This window comes from Homo sapiens, chromosome 2 (assembly GCF_000001405.40).
Source record: "Homo sapiens chromosome 2, GRCh38.p14 Primary Assembly".
Lineage (NCBI taxonomy): Eukaryota > Metazoa > Chordata > Mammalia > Primates > Hominidae > Homo > Homo sapiens.
In genome coordinates this window covers 159,486,139-159,508,557 of record NC_000002.12, presented here as the reverse complement: position 1 = coordinate 159,508,557, position 22,419 = coordinate 159,486,139, and the positions used below count along the sequence as shown (strand labels likewise).

Below are 22,419 nucleotides of genomic sequence, written 5' to 3'. Positions count from 1 at the left end.
AGGAACTGGGAATGAGATTATAGGGTGTTTAAATCATTAACAAAAGTTAGACTTGGAGAAATCTTTTGGGAAATAAGTTTCCACTTGGTTAAAAGCAAAATTTCAATAATCTATAGAGCATATAATTGTAACAAACTAAATACTCTGAATAACTTACCGAATACAAATTCAGTAATTAGATAAGTAGTTTAAATGTTGTTAGTTTGACTTTGCTGATCTGGCAAGAAAGTAAGAAGTCACTGTGACTAAAAATTAAGTGAAATAGAAAATTTAAAGAGGATAAGAAAATGTCAAAGCCAACTTCCATTTCAAGGAACCTGCTGAACTTGTGATGGAAGTTCTATTTATGAGGCTGTATAATAGCCCATATTTGAAATCAGATAGATAGGCCAGGCGTTGTGGCTCACATCTGTGATCACAACACTTTGGGAGGCCAAGGCGGGTAGATTGCTTGAGGCCAGGAGTTCGAGACCAGCCTGGCCAACATGACGAAACCCCATCTCTGCTAAAAATACAAAAATTAGCTGGGCATGGTGGCGCATGACTGTAATCCCAGCTAATCGGGAAACTGAGGCACAAGAATCACTTGAACCGGGAGGTGGAGGTTGTGGCAAGCTGAGATCATGCCACTTGCACTCCAGCCTGGGCGACAGAGGGAGACTCTAAATAAATAAATAAGTAACTTACGTAGTGCTGTTATTTTTATTTCAAAACGTCTCTACCTCCATTTTGAAACAACATGATCTCTTTTGAACCTCCGTTTTTAAAACGTTTAAGTTCCTTCTTTTTAAAAGTAATCATACCTTTAGTATAACTCTTACCCACTTTGTCCCTTCTCATTTTCTTATTTTAAAGTTTTTTGGTTATTCAATTTAGATTACTTCTCATGGTAGGAAGATTATAATGAATCCTAGATCTAATTTGATTCCTAATGTTTTAGTGCATTGATTGAAAAATACATCAAATTTTCCGAAGTCATATTAATCCCTTATACACAAGCAGACACACATTCAAAAACCCTTAATACCTTAGAACTTTCTGGACCTCTAGTATATGTGAAATTCAAATGAAATTTTTTTAGGGAGACCACTGCTTTTCTCTTCAAAGAAACACCTTTCCAACTCTTAGTTTTCACCCAAAACTTGGAATTAATATTCTTTCTAGATATAATTGTTTAGATTTTTTTTTTAACCTCCTCACTGTCGTAGTTGTTTGAAGCCTAACTTTCATTACTAAATCAGCTGTTGATCTGTTGCCTAATAAACTTTTTCTGGAGCCTATTTCTTCAAGTTTTGTACTTCTCTTTAATGTATCAGGCTATATTTTACACAGGAAACCTCAAGTTTTTTGTTCTCAAAACCATTTAGCTCTTCTTTGCAGCCACCTAATCTCTCTTTGACGACCATCTAAGCATTTTTCAGAAGGCCTTGATTTGTAATTATACCAGACTTTATTTTGGGGCCCCATGAATCTAAAACTTTTATAATTATAGTTTAGATAACTTAGTAGAAGTACCATTACTTTTATGTTGACCTGCTCCACAAAGTATTGCACCTGACACTGAACAAGAGATTTGTGTGTGAGTAATGGATTATTCATCAGTCCCACCAGTAGTGCCAGTTTTCAGACTCTGACCTCTTTGGATAGTTTATCTTGCTTGTTAGATTCTCTTGCTTGAATTACTCTTTCTCTTTTCCTTTTTCTTATCCTCCTTTCACTCTAGGACACAAATTACTGAGGGTGGAAAAGAACTCAGTACTCTCTATTATTTGTTTGTGATCCCAAAAGGAAAGTTTTCAGGGTTAAAAACTGAGAGGAGAAAAGACATTGTGGTAATGGTGTTTCCCTTGTTGGTCCTGTATTCTTATAGATAACACAGTTTCTGAAACGCAGGCTTTCTTTTTTAAGCTTTTCTAAGCTGTGCCTGAAGTATTCATAGTAATCTTCCTGAAAGTTTGGAGTTTTTCTGGACTGGGCCGATCTGGTTCTTTGCGGAGTTACTGCCCAAGTACCAGGAGATATTCCTCCATCTAAGCAGCTAATAGAAGTCTACATCAACCCTTTCTGGAAGCTTTTCTATTTCCTAATAAGTATCTGTATGTTCAAATCTGCTTGTTAATCATTCCTTAGACATGATGTTGAAATGGAACTTTGTGGATATTCATTTATCCTAGTGTAATACAGCATATTACAGCTCAGATCTCCTGGATAGCTGGGTCAGTAGGTTCCATTGCTAGGTCCAGTTTCCCTCCTGTCATCCTGGCTCGCTCTGGATATAGGTGAGGTAGAGCCTCAAGAAGCAATAGACCATGGTAAGGATTACCTAGCAAGGGATTCATGGGTAGAGAGCCTTACCCAGGTAGTCACATGTCCTTGTAGAAATTTTTTCGGAGGGGTGGAGGTCCTGCTACCACCTTTCCATATGCCTACTCTAGTTATAGTAAACTTGCCAGCCAGCCCTTGTAAGAGATTTTTGGGAGGGGCAGAAGACTCTTGGAAAGGAGAGATCCGTTTCAGATTCTCTGTCATTGTTGACAGGAGGATAGCTGGGAGTTCTCACAACTGTCCTTGTTACCTCTCATCCTGAGTGCTCATCTGGACACCGGGTAGATAGTTTATAATGTATTATACGCTTAGCTTGCCAATGTGTAACTATTCAGAGCCTCAGTTAGCAGTAAAGCCAATTATTTTTCAAGTCTTTCATTGTCAGTTTCAGGTTTTAGAAGCTGCCTTATACACATACCTGCTGTTACTTGTATGAATTGTTCTCCTTTTATTTTCCTACTTGGCTTTTGGGGCTTAAGATGATGATGAATTCTATATTCTTGCCGCCTTCTTATGGGACCTTTTCATCCAAGCTATCTGTATATTTTTCCCATTCTTTATATTAGCAGATATTTTCCCATTCCCTTATATTAGCAGATATTTTCTTTCTTTTTAAATTTTTGTTTGTTTTAGTGAGTCTTATAGCATCTTTAATATTAAGTACTGGGCCAACAAGACAGTGAATGTTAGTTATTATTTTCATTTGAACTTCAAAATTGACATAATCTGGCAATAGTGAAGCTTATAAAAGCTCTATGGCAGTGATTCTTAACCTTGGAATCTTCTGGAGGGCTTCCCAACCTGTTAATGCTTACATCCCCACCCCCAGAGATTCTGATATAATTGATCTGGAGATGGGCCTTGTCACAGATTTATATATATTTGAGATCCCCCATGTGTTTCTAATATGCAGCCAGGCTTGTGAATCATTACATTAAAGGAATTGTATGGTAAACTTGTTTATGAAGTAAAAAATTCATTTTACACTCAGAAAATACTTGAAAAACTACGAGATGACACTCTGCTGGAATTCTCTTCTATGAAATTACATATACTTCTTTGCTTCACTGTTTTCTAAATTAAGATTTTTATTGGTCAAGTTTTCTCTAAGTATATGACTACCTCCATTTACAATGAGCTTATTACTTTTATTTGAAGATATTGCATAAGTCATTTTCATAATATTATTCTTTGTCCATCAAGATTAAAATCAGTTGAGCATGATTATATAATAAATATGTAGCTTTATAAATTAAGTTCTATCATCTAAGGCAGATTGTGAAAGATAATTGCTCTCTGCACCTTTGTTTAAAATATAGCTTATATATACAGATTGAACTAGAGAACCAAATAAGTTCATGTAGAACTTTGATAGCTAAAGGAATGTTCTGGACTTGTGTTTTTATGTATTTGTATATAGTATTGCATATTTATATAAAAATTATCTTACGGTTTAAGCTGAGTAGAACCCTATTTGCCTTTTATGAGATTCCAATATATGTCTTAAGAGAGAAGGATGTTCAATATGGGACTGATAAACCAAATGTGACTGGATTAATCCCAAGGTATTGATGTGTTTTTAGTAAAATAAAATTAGCTTACACAAATAAACTAGTGGTGCCTAACTCCCTGCCTTTAGTGAATTTGAGAAGTTTGATATAAATATGGAAAAGCAGAGTTTATTGGCACAAATAGATTTCTTGGTTGGCAAGTTAAATTTTAAGGTTCAATCTGGACAGAGTGCTATGTGCCTGTAGTCTCAACTACGCAGGAAGCTGAGGCAGGAGGATTGCTTGAGGCCAGGAGTTAGAGGCTAAAGTGCACTAGGGTCTGCCTGTGAATATCCACTGCACTTGGGCCTGGGCAACATGGTAAGACCCTCATCTCTTAAAAAAAATTTTTAAGGTTTCAACACTTTATTAAAATTAAGAGGCCATTGGGAGATATACCTAATGCTAGATGACGAGTTAGTGGGTGCAGCACACCAGCATGGCACATGTATACATATGTAACTAACCTGCACATTGTGCACATGTACCCTAAAACTTAAAGTATAATAATAATAAATTAAAAAAATAAAATAAAGAAGTATTACAAAAAAAAAATTAAGAGGCCTAAGTGCCAACATGCATCTCTTATCAGAAGAATTTGTATAATATTCTTTGCAAGTCATGTTTATTTAATGTTAGGATAAATATACTAATCAACATTTATGCTTTTGCCTTACTAAGTTTACAGTATATTCAGAAAACATTAAAGCAAAATATAGATGTTTGGCATATTTTATTCAATTCACTACTTTGTGGGAACTTTTGAAGAGATTTTCTGATTTGCCAGAAGAAGCCAGATATCGGCCAGGCGCGGTGGCTCACACCTGTAATCCCAGCACTTTGGGAGGCCGAGGCAGGTGGATTACCTGAGGTCAGGAGTTTGAGACCAGCCTGGCCAAAGTGGTGAAACCCTGTCTCTACTAAAAATACAAAAAATTAGCCGGGCGTGGTGGGAGGCACCTGTAATTCCAGCTACTTGGGAGGCTGAGGCAGGAGAATTGCTTGAACCCGGGAGGGGGAGGTTGCAGTGAGCTGAGATCACACCATTGCACTCCAGCCAGGGCAACAAGAGTGAAACTCCATCTCAAAAATAAATAAATAAATAAAAAAGAAGAAGGCAGATAAAAAATAAAAAATTGTTATATAGTACAATGTTATAAGTGACTTAATTAGGGAATACACAAGATTAACAGGAAAGGACCTAAGACTTCCTTGTGAGTCGGAACAGTTCCTTAGAAGTTACACATGAGCTGAGACCTAGAGTATATGTAGGAGTAAGGCAGAGAATAAGGGCAGGGCATTTGAGGGAGAACAAACATCATGCACTAAAAACATAGCATGGATGCAGGAGGAGACAGTGGTGTATTTGGGAATGGCAAGAAGTTGTTTAGTCACCTAATGTATGAGTAGAGAGTGGAAAAGGAGACCAAAGAAACCAGAGGCTTATTAAGTAGACCTTGTTATGCCTAGCAGAAGACCTGGGATTTTATCATACAGGTGATATAGAAACACTGAAAGATTTTAAGTAGGGGAGTGGTGGGATCAGATTTTTATATTAAAAAGATTACTGCTTTAAAAAAAACAGGATTACTCTTGGTAGAAACAGTATTGAAGGAAAGAGAAGCAGAGACCTCTTGGAAGGCTACTGCATTATTTCCAATAAGAACTGATTCAGGATTGTATTAAGATGATGGTGGGAATAGAGAGAAGATATATATACTTTTAATATTGGATAAACTTGTTAGTCCCCAAACTGAATTAATATAGCTTTACCAAGTTTTTAAAAAGTATATGTAATGTGGAGGTGCAAGATTACTAAATGGACGAGCACCTGAGAGAGTTTGGTAAGAGTATGTGACTTGATTTTCTGTCTCAGCATATCATTCATTATAGCACATGAAAAATCATATTAGAGACATTCTACATTTGGTCTTGGATATAGAGTCTAGAATCAAGAATATTGAATTTAAAATTCCCATAGAGAATTCATTAAGTCAAATGGCATTCTGTCATTGAGTACCATTGAGAGATGCAGATATTCTTTTATTTTGGAGACGGTCTTGCTCTATTGCCTAGGCTGGAGTACAGTGTCACGATCACAGCTAACTGCAGCCTCAGTCTCCCAGGCTCAGGCAGTCCTCTTGTCTCAGCCTCCCAAGAATCTGGGACCACAAGCACGTGCCACCATGCTTGGCTAATTTTTTTTTTTTTTTTTCCTTTTTGAGAGACGGAGTCTTGCCATGTTGCCCAGGCTGGTCTTGAATTCCTGAGCTCAAGGGATCCTCTCACCTAGGCCTCCTAAAGTGCTGGGACTGCAGGTGTAAATTACCTTGCCAGCCTTTTTTTTTTTAACAGCTTTATGGAGATATAATTCATATATCATACAATTTGTCCATTTAAAGTATACAATTCAGTTTTTAGTGTATTCACAGAGTTGTGCAACCATCACCACAATCAGTTAAAACATTTCATAATCCCCCAAACAGACCCAATATCCATTAGCAGTCACTCTTCATTTTCCCCCAACCTACCCATAGTTCTATATTTTCTGTCTCTACAGAGTATCCTTTTCTGGATGTTTCATTTAAATGGAATCATGTAACCCATGGTCATTTGTGACTGGCTTCTTTTACTTAGCTCGGTGTTTTCAAGGTTCTTCCATGTTGCTTCATGTATCACTTTATTCCTTTTTATTGTTGAATAATATTTCATTGTATGGATATACCACATTTATTCATTCATCAGTTGATAGCCATTTGGGTTATTTGCTTTGGGGCTATTATGAACAATAGCTATGAACATTCAGGTACCAGTTTTTGTATAGACATATATTTTCATTTCTTTAGGTTATATGTCCAAGAATAGGAGTAGAATTCTACCTAAGAGTTGAATTGCTGGGTCATACAGTAACTCTTAATGTTTAGCCTTTTGAGGAACTCAGATATTCTTAACTTTTCAACATTTGAAGTAGAATATTTAGATGATCATTTAAAGTACAGACAGTTTTGTGGTTAAATTAGGTATATATGGTTTTATCATAAGACTACATTAATTTTAGTAATCAGAAAACTATGTTTATAAAGGATACTTTAAAAAGTGTAAAATCATGGTAATGGTCATTTTTAGAATAATTTTATTACTGAGTTTGTACTTTGTTTTACTTTGTAGAAATACTAAAAAATTTTTGGCTCATAGTTTTATTCATGATATCACTGTGTTTAACCATTGAATGTTTTCACACACAAACGCACACACACAGTGTGTGTGTATGTGTACAGCATATGAATTTGACACAGTATCTCACTCCGTCACCCAGGCTGGAGTGCATGGCATGATCACAGCCCACTGCAGCCTCAACCTCCCTGGGCTCAGGTGATCATCCCCCATCAGCCTCCTGAGTAGCTGGGACTATAGGTGCAAGCCACCATGCTCAGCTACTTTATATATATATATATAAATATATATATAATATATATAAAAATATATATATTATATATAAATATATATAATATATATTATATATTTATATATATTATATATATAAAATATATATATATATTATATATATATTTTTAAACAGAGATGGGGTTTCACCATGTTGCCCAGGCTGATCTTGAACTCCTGGGCTCAAGCAGTCCGCCTGCCTCAGCCTCCCAAAGTTCTGGGATTATAGGCATTAGCTATCGTGCCCAGCCGTTTTCTTTCCTTTTCTTTTTTCTTTTTTTTTTTGAGACAGAGTCTTGCTCTGTCACCCAGGCTGGAGTGCAGTGGCGCAATCTCAGCTCACTGCAACCTCTGCCTCCTGGGTTCAAGCAATTCTCCTGACTCAGCCTCCCAAGTAGCTGGGATTACAGGCATGCACCACCACATCCAGCTAATTTTTGTACTTTTAGTAAAGACTGGGTGAAACCCAGTCTGCCAGGCTGGTCTCGAATTCCTGACTTCAGGTGATCTGCATGCCTTGTCCTCCCAAAGTGTTGGGATTACAGGCATGAACCACCGCACCTGGCCTCCCAGCTGTTTTCATATTTTAATGCAGGTGATATTAAGACATGTTTAGGATGTATACTTAGGGCCTTGTACTATGAAGGAATTTATTTTCTCTGAGCATTGTCACAGAGGGTCTTCATTCTTCCATATAAAAACTAGGAATATTATAATAAAGAGAAGGCCAATACAATAAGCAAAAAGAACAAAGCTGGAGGCATCACTTCAAAGAGAACATCACGGGAGGCTCCCCAACTTCAAACTATACTACAAGGCTACAGTAACCAAAACAGCATGGTGCAGGTATAAGAACAAACACAGAGATCAATAGAACAGAATAGAGAACTCAGAAATAAGATCACACACCTACAATCATCTGATCTTCAAGAAACCTGACAAAAACAAGCAATGGGAAAAGGACTCCCTATTTAACAGAGGGTGCTGGGAGAGCTGGCTAGCCATATGCAGAAAACTGAAACTGGATCCACTTCTTACACCATATACAAAAATTAACTCAAGATGGATTAAAGACTTAAATGTAAAACCCAAAACTATAAAAACCCTAGAAGAAAATCTAGGTAGTACCATTCAGGACATAGGCATGGGCAAAGATTTTATGATGAAAATGCCAAAAGCAGTTGCAACAAAAGCAAATACTGATAAATGGGACCTAATTAAACCAAAGAGCTTCTGCACAGTAAAAGAAACTATCATCAGAGTGAACAGACAGCCTACAAAATGGGAGAAAACTTTGTAATCTATCCAACTGACAAGGGTCTAATATCCAGAGTCTACAAGGAACTTAAACAAATTTATAAGAAACAAACAACCCCATTAAAAAGTGGGCAAAGGACATGAACAGACACTTCTCAAAAGAAGACATACATGTGGCCAACAAACATATGAAAAAAAGCTCAACATCACTGATCATTAGAGAAATGCTGATCAAAACCACAACGAGATACCATCTCACACCAATCAGAATGGCTATTATTAAAAAGTCAAAAACAACAGATGCTGGTGAGGTTGCAGGGGAAAAGGAATGCTTTTACACTGTTGATGGGAGTGTAAATTAGTTCAGCCATGTGGAAGACAGTATGGCGATTCCTCAAAGATCTAGAAGCTGAAATACCATTTGACCCAGCAATCCCATAACTGGGTGTATACCCATAGGAATATAAATCATTCTAGTATAAAGATACATACACGTGTATGTTCATTGCAGCACTATTCAGAATTGCAGAGATATGGACTCAACTTTAATGCCCATCAATGATAGACTGGATAAAGAAAATGTGGTACATACACCATGGAATACTATGCAGCCATAAAAGGAATGAGATCATGTCCTTTGCAGGGACATGGATGGAGTTCGAAGCCATTATCCCGAGCATTCTAACACAAGAACAGAAAATCAAACATGGCATGTTTTCACGTGTAAGTGGAACTGAATAATGAGAACATGTGAACACAAAGAGGAGATATACACACACTGGTGCATGTCGGAGTGGCGGGGACGGGGGTGAGAGAGAGCATCAGGAAGAATAGCTAATGGATGTTGGGCTTAATACCTAGGTGATGGGTTGATCTGTGCAGCAGACCACCATGGCACGTGTTTACCTGTATAACAAACCTGCACATCCTGTACCTGTACCCCTGAACTTAAAAGTAGAAGAAAAAAATAATAATAAAGAGAGGGTGTAGCATGCCTCCTGTTAGGTATTTTGTTATGTATTTGGCCAGGAGAATACAGAAAGAAAATATTTTCTCCAACTTAAGATACATGGGTAGAAAAACAGCTTAATAAAAGTCAACGTTATTTATGTTAATATTTGGGTATTGCCAATACAGTAAGTACAGTAAGACATGGACAAGTGTATGCAATTCAGAAAATAATAAAAATTATGAGGGAAATGGATGAAGCATAATTGAAACAATAAGTTAATACATAATTTGACCAAATGGTATACTTAAGAGAATGGTAGGGGGAATTATAATAATAACTTTTTGTGTATATTTGGAGATTATTAATGTCAAAAGGAGAAAACTTGGTCCCTAGATTACTGAAAAATGCACTGTTATAGTCTGAACAAAATTAATTTTGTGTATAATGAAGGTTATAAAATTACATATTAACTTCTCAGGGAAAAGCAGTTTTACTATTTTAGTTATCTAAGAACTAAAATAAAAATGTCACTATTATCTAAAACAAAATTTCAAATTATACTATTATCTAAAGCTAAGGTAAAGATGGCATTTTTGAAAGCTAGATTGACAGGGGATCGCCTAATATACTCTTGAACACCTCTTTAGGTTTACCTGTGAACTAAATCGGCTTGGAATTGAAAATTATCTTGACATTTCAACATGTTTGCTTACATTTAACTTATAAAATAAATAATGTTGACTTTTATTGAGCTTTTTTTTACCCTTATATCATAAGTTTAAAGAAAATATTTTCTTCTTTGTATTCTCCTGGCCAAACACGTAAGAACAAAATACCTGGCAGGAAGTGTACTAGGCCCTCTCTTTATAACTCTTTGAAGTAAGCATAATTAGTTTCATTGTACTGATTCAGCAACCAAAGCTCAACAGACATACTAGTTGTGTGCTGAATAATACAGTGTATTCATAAAACAAATACAGAGCTGTAAAAAAGTCATGCAATTAGCAGCTTCCTGGGTAGAAGCTAAAGTGCTCCATAATTCAAAGATGGGAAGTTGGGACCCAAGGTTAGTCACATCCAGCTTTATGGATAAAGGAACACTAGGGCGTATATTTAAAGGAGTATATTGTTTGGATTATTGGAAGTGAAAACCAGAATATGTCTCAGTGGTGTAAGTAGCATGAGTGAACATGAGAAAAGACAAGCATCATATTTGTTAGGAAGTTTTCTACTAGGCTCTTTCGTTGGCAGGGAACAGTAACAGAAGAGTATCTTCTCTCTCTCTCAAGGCCACTCAACTTCTCTGTACATTTACTCTTCCATTATTTTTTTCCAACCCACTTTTTTAAACTTGTATACTTAGGCCCCCAGCCTTAAGGATCTCTTAATCTCAGCAACCACTTTCCCTGTTTCTATCATTGAAAATGTTTATATCAGAAAGAATCTGATTAGAGTATAGAATCTTTTAGAGACCACTGACACATAGATTTCTGGCCAACTCTTGTCTCCTTGGGTTATATCTGTTTCAGACAGCTTTGACCACAGGAATGGGACCATGTGGCCCACTGTTAAGAGACAAGGATTTCCTCAACATCAGGAAGTCCTATCTGCTGAATTAGGCAGTCTGTAAAGAGGAAGCCTGAGTCAAGCACAGGGAAAGCATAATGAGTCATGGACCTTCCTACTTCCTGGATGGAGGTGGAGGGTGGAACTTTTATGAAAACTGTCATCATTTAAAAATTACATCAAGGCAAAAGATCTTTTTTCTTCCTGGTAGTTCATGAGTGAAACTGCCTGTCTCCAAAATCTTTGTGTTTGCATCTCCTTTGTACCCCTCTCACTACTCCGAATTTAGTGAAGTGAGCACATACATTTCTGTTTATCAGAAAAATAAAAAAATTATAGTAATTGAGATTTAGGTTGAATTATGGAGATAACAGTATTAAATGAAAAGAAATTTAGAGAAAATTGAGTAGTGAGAATTATTAAATGATGAACTTTTATAAGGTAAGGACTATGATTTTATCTTTATTTTCTAACGACTAAACCAGCATAGAGATTTGTAGTTAATGCTCAAAAATAGTTGTTAAATAAATAATACACCACCTATTTCAACACAAGAGGCAAAAAAGGAATAAATCCTTAATGTGTAACAATTTTTTCTTGAATTTTTATCAGAATTCTCAAAATTCTCTTCTTTAACTATGGTAGCATTAATTTTTTTTTTTTTTTTTTTTTTTTTTTTTGAGACGGAGTTTCCCTCTTGTTGCCCAGGCTGGAGTGCAATGGCGCGATCTTGGCTCACCGCAACATCCACCTCCCAGGTTCAAGCGATTCTCCTGCCTCAGCCTTCCTGAGTAGTTGGGATTACAGTCATGCCTCACCATGCCCGGCTAATTTTGTGTTTTTAGTAGAGATGGGGTTTCTCCATGTTGGTCAGGCTGGTCTCGAACTCCCGACCTCAGGTGATCCGCCCACCTTGGCCTCCAAAGTGCTGGGATTAAGGCATGAGCCACCGTGGCTGGCTTTTTTTTTTTTTTTTTCCTGCAGAGTCTCACTCTGTTGCTCAGGCTGGAGTGCAGTGGTGCAATCGGCCCTCCCACGTTCAAGCCATTCTGGTAGCATTAATTTTTTTTTTTTTTTTTTTTTTTTTTAGATGGAGTCTTGCTCTATCACCAGGCTGGAGAGTGCAGTGGTGCAATCTTGGCTTACTGCAACCTCCGCCTCCTGGGTTCAAGGGATTCCTCTGCCTCAGCCTCCTGAGTAGCTGGGACTACAGGCATGTGCCATCACGCCTGGCTAGTTTTTTGTATTTTTTAGTAGAGATGGGGTTTCACCATGTTGGCCAGGCTGGTCTCGATCTTCTGACCTCGTGATCTGCCCACCTTGACCTCCCAAAGTGCTGGGATTACAGGCGTGAGCCACCGTGCTCAGCCTAATTTTTTAAAAAGTATTTCTTCTGGCTGGGCGCGGTGGCTCATGCCTGTAATCCCAGCACTTTGGGAGGCCGAGGCAGGCGGATCATGAGGTCAGGAGATCGAGACCATCCTGGCTAACACGTGAAACCCCATCTTTACTAAAATACAAAAAAAAAATTGGCTGGGCGGGATGATGCATGCCTGTAGTCCCAGGTCCTTGGGAGGCTGAGGCAGGAGAATGGTGAGAACCCGGGAGGCAGAGCTTCCAGTGAGCCGAATGACCCACTGCACTGCAGCCTGGGCAACAGAGCGAGACTCTGTCTCAAAAAAAAAAAAAGTATTTCTTCTTCGATTAAAATGTATATATAGTTTTAGATACTCATATCTGTTTCTCCTATTTTACTCCAACACTACCATGTGGTCTTTGTAGATACTAAAATTTATAAGTAAAGATGAATCATAAATTTGATAATTAGCAAATAATTAAAATTATATAATGTCCTATATATTATAAAAACTATTCTAAATCTATAATTAATATTGGATTCTAAGATGGCAATCTATTTTCAGAAGCATTTTCTTTTTTCATATTAAATTTTTTTTTTTTTTTTTTTTTTTTTTTTTTTTGAGACGGAGTCTCGCTCTGTCGCCCAGGCTGGAGTGCAGAGGCGCGATCTCGGCTCACTGCAAGCTCCGCCTCCCGGGTTCACGCCATTCTCCTGCCTCAGCCTCCCAAGTAGCTGGGACTACAGGCGCCCGCCACTACGCCCGGCTAATTTTTTGTATTTTTAGTAGAGACGGGGTTTCACCGTTTTAGCCGGGATGGTCTCGATCTCCTGACCTCGTGATCCGCCCGCCTCGGCCTCCCAAAGTGCTGGGATTACAGGCGTGAGCCACCGCGCCCGGCCTTCATATTAAATGTTTTTATATTTTTTGGAGCATGAGAAAATGCATAACTTTTAATATAGATATCCCTAATTATTAACAAAATTAAGAATAAATATAATATCTTCCAACTGCATATCTTACTTATTTTCTTAATTTGTTTGCTCATCTACACATATGGCCCCTGAAAAGGCCACCCCATTTCCTAAATTTATATAATACCATCTTCTAATGCCTAGTACCCAGGTACTATCACTTAGCTCAATTTCTTACTAGTAAGAATCTGTTTAACTCAGCATTGATTAGGTCCACTATTGCTCCAACCTACTCTAGAGTATAAACCCTTGAGGTAGTGTATTTGACCTAATTGACTTATTCATTATATCCTGAGCGCCTAGCATGCTTCATGGTGTGGCAAATGCTTTCTGAAAGGTTGAACATCAGATGTTTTCATAAATGGTTAAAGTTTGTATAATTATCACTTAGAGCATCTGGGTGAAATAACTTTGATGTATCTTTAATTAGTTGAGTATATAGAATAAAAGACTAGTATTTAGGTGGCATTCCAGGTGCCCAGCCAAATTAAATACTCCATATTTCTTTGTCATAGACTGGAAGGTTAAGAGTATATGCCACCGAGCCCTAGAGGAATTCTTAGAATTTTGTACAGCTGCTCTCATCAGTGAATTGTGTACAGAAAGCCTGAATTCTGCTAGTGTAGTAGTAGTAGTATGTGCATGTATATGTGAGTGTGTATGTTTATATAAATGTACTTATATGTATAAATAGTAGTTTATATATTTATATAGTAGTAATCATTTTAATATAGCAGCTAGTATGATTAGGGATTGTAAAATCCTTCTGTGCTTCCCTGTAGAAACCATACATTACTGGGAAACCAAATATATATGTGTTTTTCAAATATCTCTGAGAGTGACCCAGAATATTTCATTTTTTTATGATTCTACTATGTGGATTTCATGACCTTGAATGGGTTATGACCCGAAGTTTTAAAAATATTGCTGTAACTGGGACTAAAGAGTTCAGTCAATAGAAATGACTTAAAATTTTAGAGTTGGTAGCCAGCATTACCTGTATATTATTTATGTTTGCTTTGCCTACCTAGTAATAGGCCCTTCTGGAATTCTAATGCAAGTGCTAGTATAAAAGGGCAGTGGAATACCTCGGCTTTAGTGTATAAAAGGGCAGTGGAATACCTAGGCTTTAGTTTCTTACCAGCTCTTGAAGACCCTCCCTGTACGGAGAGTGTCATCAGCATCAGTGGAAGGGCAAAGGGAAACCCATGCACACATAACCTGTTTCTGCTTTTTTTCTGTTCAGTTCTTTTTAACTAATACATTGAGCACTTATATCAGGTATATGTTTATGGCCTCTTCTGCCAGTAAAACCTGGACCTACAATATTGCAAATAGAACAAAATTCTTCCAATTTGTGCTAGGGATATTTCAGTGGAAACATTTGAGAAGTAATGAAAGATGTAATGAGAGTTATTTCAGGTTATCTTCTGAGTGAATAGTTTAAGCTTTTAAGTGAATATAAATAAGCTAAACTCCACCTCAAGTAATCTACCACTGATTTTAATGAAATTCCAACATTTTAGTAATGGTAAGTATACCCTGTGAAGAAAACATGGTAACATGATATTAGTTTAAGTTTCTTCATAGAGCTAACTGCTGATTTGTATCTAATACTGCACATCCATCTTTCTGAAGAAAACTTTAATAAGGTAGTATCTGCCCTAAAGCTGCCAACTCATGTTTTAACAGTTTTAATAGTCGAGTTACTCAGTATGAAACAGGCTTCCTCACTAAGTGAGAGGATTTCAGGTCTGAGGGAAGAATATTATCATTTAGATAGACACTGTGCCATAAAACTTTCTATAATGATGTGATAGCTGTTGAGCACTTAAAATATGGCTAGTGTGACTTTTAAATTTTATTTAATTTTAATTAATTTAAATGTAATTTTCTGCATGTGGTTAATGGCTGTCCTATTGGACAGTGCACTTTTAGATATTACTTTTGATACATTGATTTTGGGTTCATCTGAATTGCTTGCTGTATGGTTGAATGCTGTCCTTAAAAATTGCAATGAAATGTAATGAGTGGACCTGATTTTGTGTCTAGTTGAAGGTATAACCACACAAAAGAACTGTTTAAAGTGACTTTTAGATATTTTAGTTTTACTAGTTTACTGTATTTTGAGGATCAAAAGAACTGTGTTTTCAGTAATTGTATTATTATGTTAGTGTTGGTGCCGAAAGTGTCAAAAACAGAGGTTGTTGGCACATTAACTGAGATTTTTGACATGTTAAAAGCAAGGACTACAAATGTAAAAACAGATAACAACAAAAATACTATAATTCTGAGTTTGAATTGAAAGTGTTGATAATGACTTCTGTCATTGAAGTATGAAATACAATTATTTTTAATCAATTATTTTCTTTGAATTTTAAAATCTGTGATAATTTTGAAACAGACTTGATAAAATACTAGCTCCAATATCCAGATTTTATAACTTAATAGTTACAGTGTTGCTGTTTTTCTTGTCATATTTTTGTTTTAAAATATGAAGTATTAATTTAAGGCACATAAATAATGAAGACACATTTTCATTTATTCAACAAACATTCAATAAGCAACTGTTTTAAGCAAAGTATTCCTCTAAGGCTCTGGGAAATGTAAGATACTAAAAACATGATTTCTACTCCCATAAGCTTACTAATTCTTAGGCAAATGTATGCAAGTTCATAGTTGTAATACAGGATAAAATATGGTAAGTGCAGTGAAAGAGACAGTGATAAAATACTTTATTATGGATTTAGAACTTTGACTTCTCCAAATTGTCAGCAGTCAACAGTGCTAAGGGTTTGGGATATCTGACTTTCAGCTTAGGTAATTTATGGGTATCCTTGTCAGGGGTGTCATTCATGGTGTCACTTTGACCTGGGGTTTAAAGCATAGGAAGGATTTGATATGCAATTATGGGGCAAGGGATGAAGAACATGTTAAGGAGAGGGATGCAGTTGGAATTAAGGATTTGGGAAAGTATGGTGCAAGAACCAGGTGATGGTGACTAATTAAGTTTGATTGGAAATACAGAGAAAGTAAGTTTTGAGAAATAAGTAAGCCTATAAGGTCAAGCCTAAGGAGTTTCAGTATAATTTTGTTGTTAATACGAATGGGAGAATAGATATGTGCTGCCACATGACTTTTGTCAATGAATTGGTTCATGGGGAAAGAGGAATGAATTAGATGACAGTTCAGGTCAGAGAAATAAAAAGAAGAATTAGGATGGTAATAATGACTATCTTCAGCAACAGTTGGCTATAATAGTTAATTATTAATAGGAGAATTTTGACTTCTATTATAGCCTATGGGAAGTTTTAAAGTAATATGATTGCTAAAAATTTGAATATCAGTTTAGAGCTCTAAAATGCTATAACCTTTAACAGAAGACTTTTTTTTTTTTTTTTTTTTTTTTTTGAGACGGAGTCTCGCTCTGTCGCCCGGGCTGGAGTGCAGTGGCGGGATCTCGGCTCACTGCAAGCTCCGCCTCCCGGGTTCACGCCATTCTCCTGCCTCAGCCTCCCAAGTAGCTGGGACTACAGGCGCCCGCCACTACGCCCGGCTAATTTTTTTGTATTTTTAGTAGAGACGGGGTTTCACCGTTTTAGCCGGGATGGTCTCGATCTCCTGACCTCGTGATCCGCCCGCCTCGGCCTCCCAAAGTGCTGGGATTACAGGCGTGAGCCACCGCGCCTGGCCAACAGAAGACTTTTAATACTCATCAATTAGAGAGTTAATTTTCTCCCAAACACTAGTATTATTATATACCTCCTTTCTAGCAGATAGGCACGTGTTAAACTAGCAATCATTAGTTTAGAAACCATTAAACATCAGAAGTGCACATTACTTAAATTGGGAATGTTTGAAATTACCTTTTAAATCTATAAGCAATTTGGTTGTTGCATATTTCTAAGCCTTGTTATTGATATCAATAGCCAACTAAAGGAGGGAGGACATACATTAGTGAGTGTTGATAGGACTAGAATAAATTTTTGTGAGCCTGCTTTAAAAATTTTGTTTTAAGGTTAATATGACCCTCAGACATATTAAACAGGTAAAATTTATATAAACTTAATAGTAGCCATAAAATAGACTCCTGCAAACTTCTGGGTTTTTGCAGATCTTTATAATAGGTTCTGAAAAAGCTGTTTTTGGGGGAAGTTTTCATGCATTCTAGACAAGACCAGTAATGTCAGAAAGCATGTTATAGGTGCATTTTGTTGTCAATCTTGCCTACGTTAATGGAGACCTCTGAGAAAAATGGAAGCTGACCAGGGATGCATGCTGGAGCTCCAGAGGTTTGCAATGTGCTAACCAAAGCACAGTGTGTGTTAAATGTTAATTTCTTTATGTGTCTATAGCATTTATATCCCCTTTAAAACCTTCAAGTTACTAGCCTGAGCAACATAGGGAGATCCCATCTCTTCAAAAATAAAAATAAAAAAAAAATAGCCAGGTGTGCTGGCATGAGCCTGTGGTCTCCTAGCTACTCAGGAGGCTCAGGTGGGAGGACTGCTTGAGCAGGGAAGATCGAGGCTGCAGTCAGTAAGCTGTGATCACGCCACTGCACTCCAGGCTGGGAGACAGAGTGAGACCATGTCTCAAAGCAAACAAACAAACAAAAAAACTCTAAAACCCAAAACGTCAAGGTTTACTTTTGATATTATCAATCTGGAAAGAGTTAACGTGAAATGTTAATATGAAACCATAATACTAAGATTTGGTTTAGGTTAGATGGGTCATACCCATGCTAGTAAACTTCTAGGAGGTCGCGTAGATTCTATTGCTATTTTGGACTTCTGCATTATAAAATTTTGTTTAAAATAATTGGACCATTTTTTAAAGCTTGGATTGAAAAGTGTAACAAGGGGAGATTTGACTATCTTACATGTTTCATCTATATATTTCATATCTGTTTGATGTATGGTTTCTCGATTAAGAATTATTAATTATAAGTAAATTTAGTATTTACAAAAAGAATTAAAGCATGATTTTGCTATGTATTCTTTTAGACGCTAGCATTTATGAAATTTTGTCATAAATGTAGGAAAAAATTAACATTATAAGAAGTTAGTTTTTGACATTGACTAAGAAAGAATAGGTGAAAACCAATATAATGTAATTCCAAGCTTCAGCTTACTTTCAAGGAATAAATTGATGGAAGCTGTATAGTTGAAAATTGTCCATTTTGTTCATTTCTGTCTAGATTTCTTTTTCTAACTTTTTTGAGACAGGGTCTCACTCTCACCCTGGCTGGAGTGCAGTGGTGTAGCCAAACCTCATTGCAGCCTAAAACTCCTGGGCTTAAGCAGTCCTCCTGCCTCAGCCTCCCAAATAGCTAGGACTACAGATAGGTGCCTGTAGTCCATACTGGCTGGCTAATTTTTTTTTTAAATTTAGTAGGGATGGGTTCTTCTAATTTGCCTAGGCTGGTCTCTAGCACCTGGCCTGAAGTGATCCTCCCACCAGACCTCCCAAAGTGCTGAGATTATAGGCATGAGCCATCACACCTGGCATTTCAGTCTAGATTTCAATTTCTTTTTCGGTTTATCCGGTTTGGGGTTTGCTCATCTTCTTGAATCTTTAGGTTTTTATGTCTTTAACCAAAAATGAAAAGTTTTTAGCCACCACCTCTTCAAATAATTTTTCAACTCTACACCATTTTTCCTCCCCTAAGATTCTGTTGACATGAATCTCAGACATTTTGTTATCGTCTCACAGGTCCCTGGGTCAGTTTTAACTGTTTTTCGATGCTTATTTTGTCTGTTGTTCAGACTGGATAATTTCTATTGATCTACCTTTGAGTTCATTGGCTCTTTTTTTTTATCATCTTCATTTTGCTATTGAGTCCATTCGTGAGTTTTTTATTCAGATTACTGTTGTCAGTTCTAAAGTTTCTATTAGTTTTCTTTATGTCTTCTATTTCATTGCTGTTTTTCCATTTCTATCAAGTTTGTTCTTGATAACTTGAATAATCAGCGACTCAGTGGTGTAACATATTGGACATCAAGAAATACCTATCCATGGATAGTATGCTGTCTCTTCATTATTAGGGGAAAAGCGTAAATGAGAGGAAATAGGCTTTATGAGTTAATCTAGAATCTTGCTTTTTGGTTAGTGAATAGGCCAGTAACACTGATAGGTTGGTTCTCAAAATACATGTGGCTTTTTAATGTAAAATTATTTCTTTTTAGTGTTACTGAAATTTTGTGACTCTTTAGGTTAATGGTACCTGGAAATGAAGCTCCAGAGTTTGTGACTAATTCACTTCTTCTGGACCATCCTGGAGAAATGACTATTAATCAGCTTCCTAAAGTATCATCAAGGATAGATTTTACCTCTGTAAAATAGCTCATTTCATTGTTGATCACCTTGTGATCAGTAGTTTTTCCTATGCTAAATATAAATTTTAAGGTTAGTTCTTCCCCCTAAAAAAACAGAAAATGGGTGTGTTTCATTTTTGTGTAATATTTTTTAATGTGGAAAATTGAAATAGACTGAAACATATAAAAAACCAATGAAAAGTATAAAAACAAATTAGTCATTTATAATTTCACCATTCTGAGAACCATCGTTAACATTTTGGTGTATTTCTTTTTTTTGTTCTTTTTTATTTTCAAATGTTGTGGGTACATGGCATATATTATGTGATACATGAGATATTTTGATACAGGCATACAATGCATTATAATCACATCAGGGTAAATGGGATATCCATCACCTGAAGTGTTTATCCTTTCTTTGTGTTAAAAGCAATCCAATTATTGGTGGGTGCGGTAGCTAACACCTGTAATCCCAGCACTTTGGGAGGCCGAGGCGGGTGGATCACTTAAGGTCAGGAGTTCAAGACCAGCCTGGGCAACATGGTGAAATCCTGTGTCTATTAAAAATACAAAAATTAGCCAGGAGTGATGGCAGGCACCTGTAGTCCCAGCTACTTGGGAGGCTGAAGCGGAAGAATTACTGGAACCCAGGAGGTGGAGATTGCAGTAGCCGAGATTGCACTGCTATACTCCAGCCTGAGCAACAGAGTGAGACTCTGTCTAAAAAATTAAAAAATAAAAATAAAAAATCCAATTCTTTGTGTTAAAAAAAAAATCCAATTGGGCTGTGGCCTGTAATCCTGATCGTTTTGTGATTAATTTTCCAGCTGTCCTTTGAGCTTCTTGTATTTGGATGTCTAGATCTCTAGCGAGGCCAGGGAAGTTTTTCTTGATTATTCTTTCAAATAAGTTTTCCAAACTTAGATTTTTCCTCTTTCTCAGGAACACTATTATTCTTATCTTTGGTCATTTAACATAATCCCAGACTCCTCGGAAGCTTTGTTCATTTTTTTAAATTCTTTTTTTTTTTCTTTATCTGATTGGATTAATTCAAAAGCCTTGTCTTCAAGCTCTGAAGTTCTTTCTTCTGGTTGTTTGCTTCTCTTGTTGAAACTTGGAAAGGGAATAGTGGATAGATAACAAAATAAATCACTTAAAACCTCCCCAAGTAGGTGATTGACTCAACAGGTCAGAGTCTAGATGTTTAGGATGCAGAACTAGGAATATGATCACCATGAGGAAATAAGATTTAAGATACCGTGGGCAGTGGTTTGAAATTAGAAATTAAAGACCAGGGAACAGTGAAAGTGCCTCCTACTTGAAGGTGAGGATTCAGACTCTGACATCACAGTGAGTAGGATTAGAAAGATACCCATGTTATTAAGAACTGGAGTGAGAACTGATATTCATTAAACCAATGGTTTACCACCTTTTTAAAAAAGCACTGGGACCTTTTCTTTAAACAAAATCTCACATAGAATCACAATGTACAAAACATACAAAAGAAGATCCTTGACACAAGTAGTTGGTATGTGGGCCAGAGCTAGAGCCTCTATTTCAAGGTTACTGGGAGTAGGTTCCCTGCTTCCTAAGACTTAAAGGTAGCATAAGACTCTGGAGCATTTTGAAAGGTAATTTCTAGCAATAACAAACCTTTAGAAATCTTTCTCTTTTTGTTGACTTAACTGTCATTAATACAATCACATGGTAAAACATTCAAGCAGAAAAAATATGTGGTGAAAAATAATTATCCCATCCTAGAATCCAGTTTCCCCATTGCCTAGAAGTAAATACAGTTACAAATTTCTTACATGTTTTTCTAGAAATAGTCTATGAGCATACAAGTATATGAATATATCTTCCTCTTATTTTTCTTTATCACAAATGAGATCTTGCTATTTATAGTCTCCACCACCTTGCTCTTTATATTTAACATATTAGCTAGTATAGGTCTACCTCTTTCTTTTTGAACACCTGCATAGTAATCTAGTAAAGATTTTTAAAATCTAATTTAACAATTCTTTATTGATGGAAATGTGTTTTTAAAAGTCTTTTGCCATTATAGTGGTGTAATAAATATCCTTTATGTATACATTTACCAATGTGTTTGAGTATATTTCTAGGATATATATTCCTTTGAAGACTTTTGAGTAGGAAAGTGGTAATACTAAAAAGACAAACCTAATGTGAGGGTGACCAGCACAAAAGAAAAAAAAAAAAGAAGAAGAAAAAGAAAAGCCCACATTTTTTTCACGGTATTCACAACCTGTTATCCCCACTTTGTTCTTTAAGAGGTATATTGTTCCTGTTATATGGTTCTGCATCTTTCCTATTAAAAGGGACTTTTTATTTTAGTTCATCAGACATGTAGTACTTAGACTTTGCTTCCTGGGCTTCTGAGTATACATGGATATTTTATATAGAGTAATATGATTTCTGTTTGATTCTCTGCTTTATTTTTTCATCTCATGCATTGGTTTCAGTTGCTTTCCAGAACTATCTTAAATATTCTAATTAAAATTTTAATTGTGTTTCTTAGTTAAGCAAAGTTTTAGGTCTTTTGCTTGTTCTTTGGAGCCCCTTGGATTTGTAGATGAAAGGATCAGCTAACCATACACCATATCTCTCTTTATCTTTCTAACCTTCGTTTCCTTGTTAGACATTTCTAAGTCTAGT

At 36.4% G+C, this 22,419-nt stretch overlaps 1 protein-coding gene across 24 annotated transcripts in view, besides 1 other annotated feature; it reads left to right on the top strand.

Moving 5' to 3' along the window:
• Window positions 1-22,419, top strand: part of BAZ2B (bromodomain adjacent to zinc finger domain 2B) — a 397,131-nt gene that overhangs the window by 203,885 nt on the left and 170,827 nt on the right. The gene's annotated exons all lie outside the window — the stretch shown is intronic.
• Window positions 10,986-11,280: an enhancer, noted in NCBI's record as "tiled region #4770; K562 Activating DNase matched - State 5:Enh". NCBI's record gives its function as "activates a minimal TATA promoter and a strong SV40 promoter by Sharpr-MPRA in K562 cells {active_cell/tissue: K562}" and the evidence as "EXISTENCE:reporter gene assay evidence [ECO:0000049][PMID:27701403]".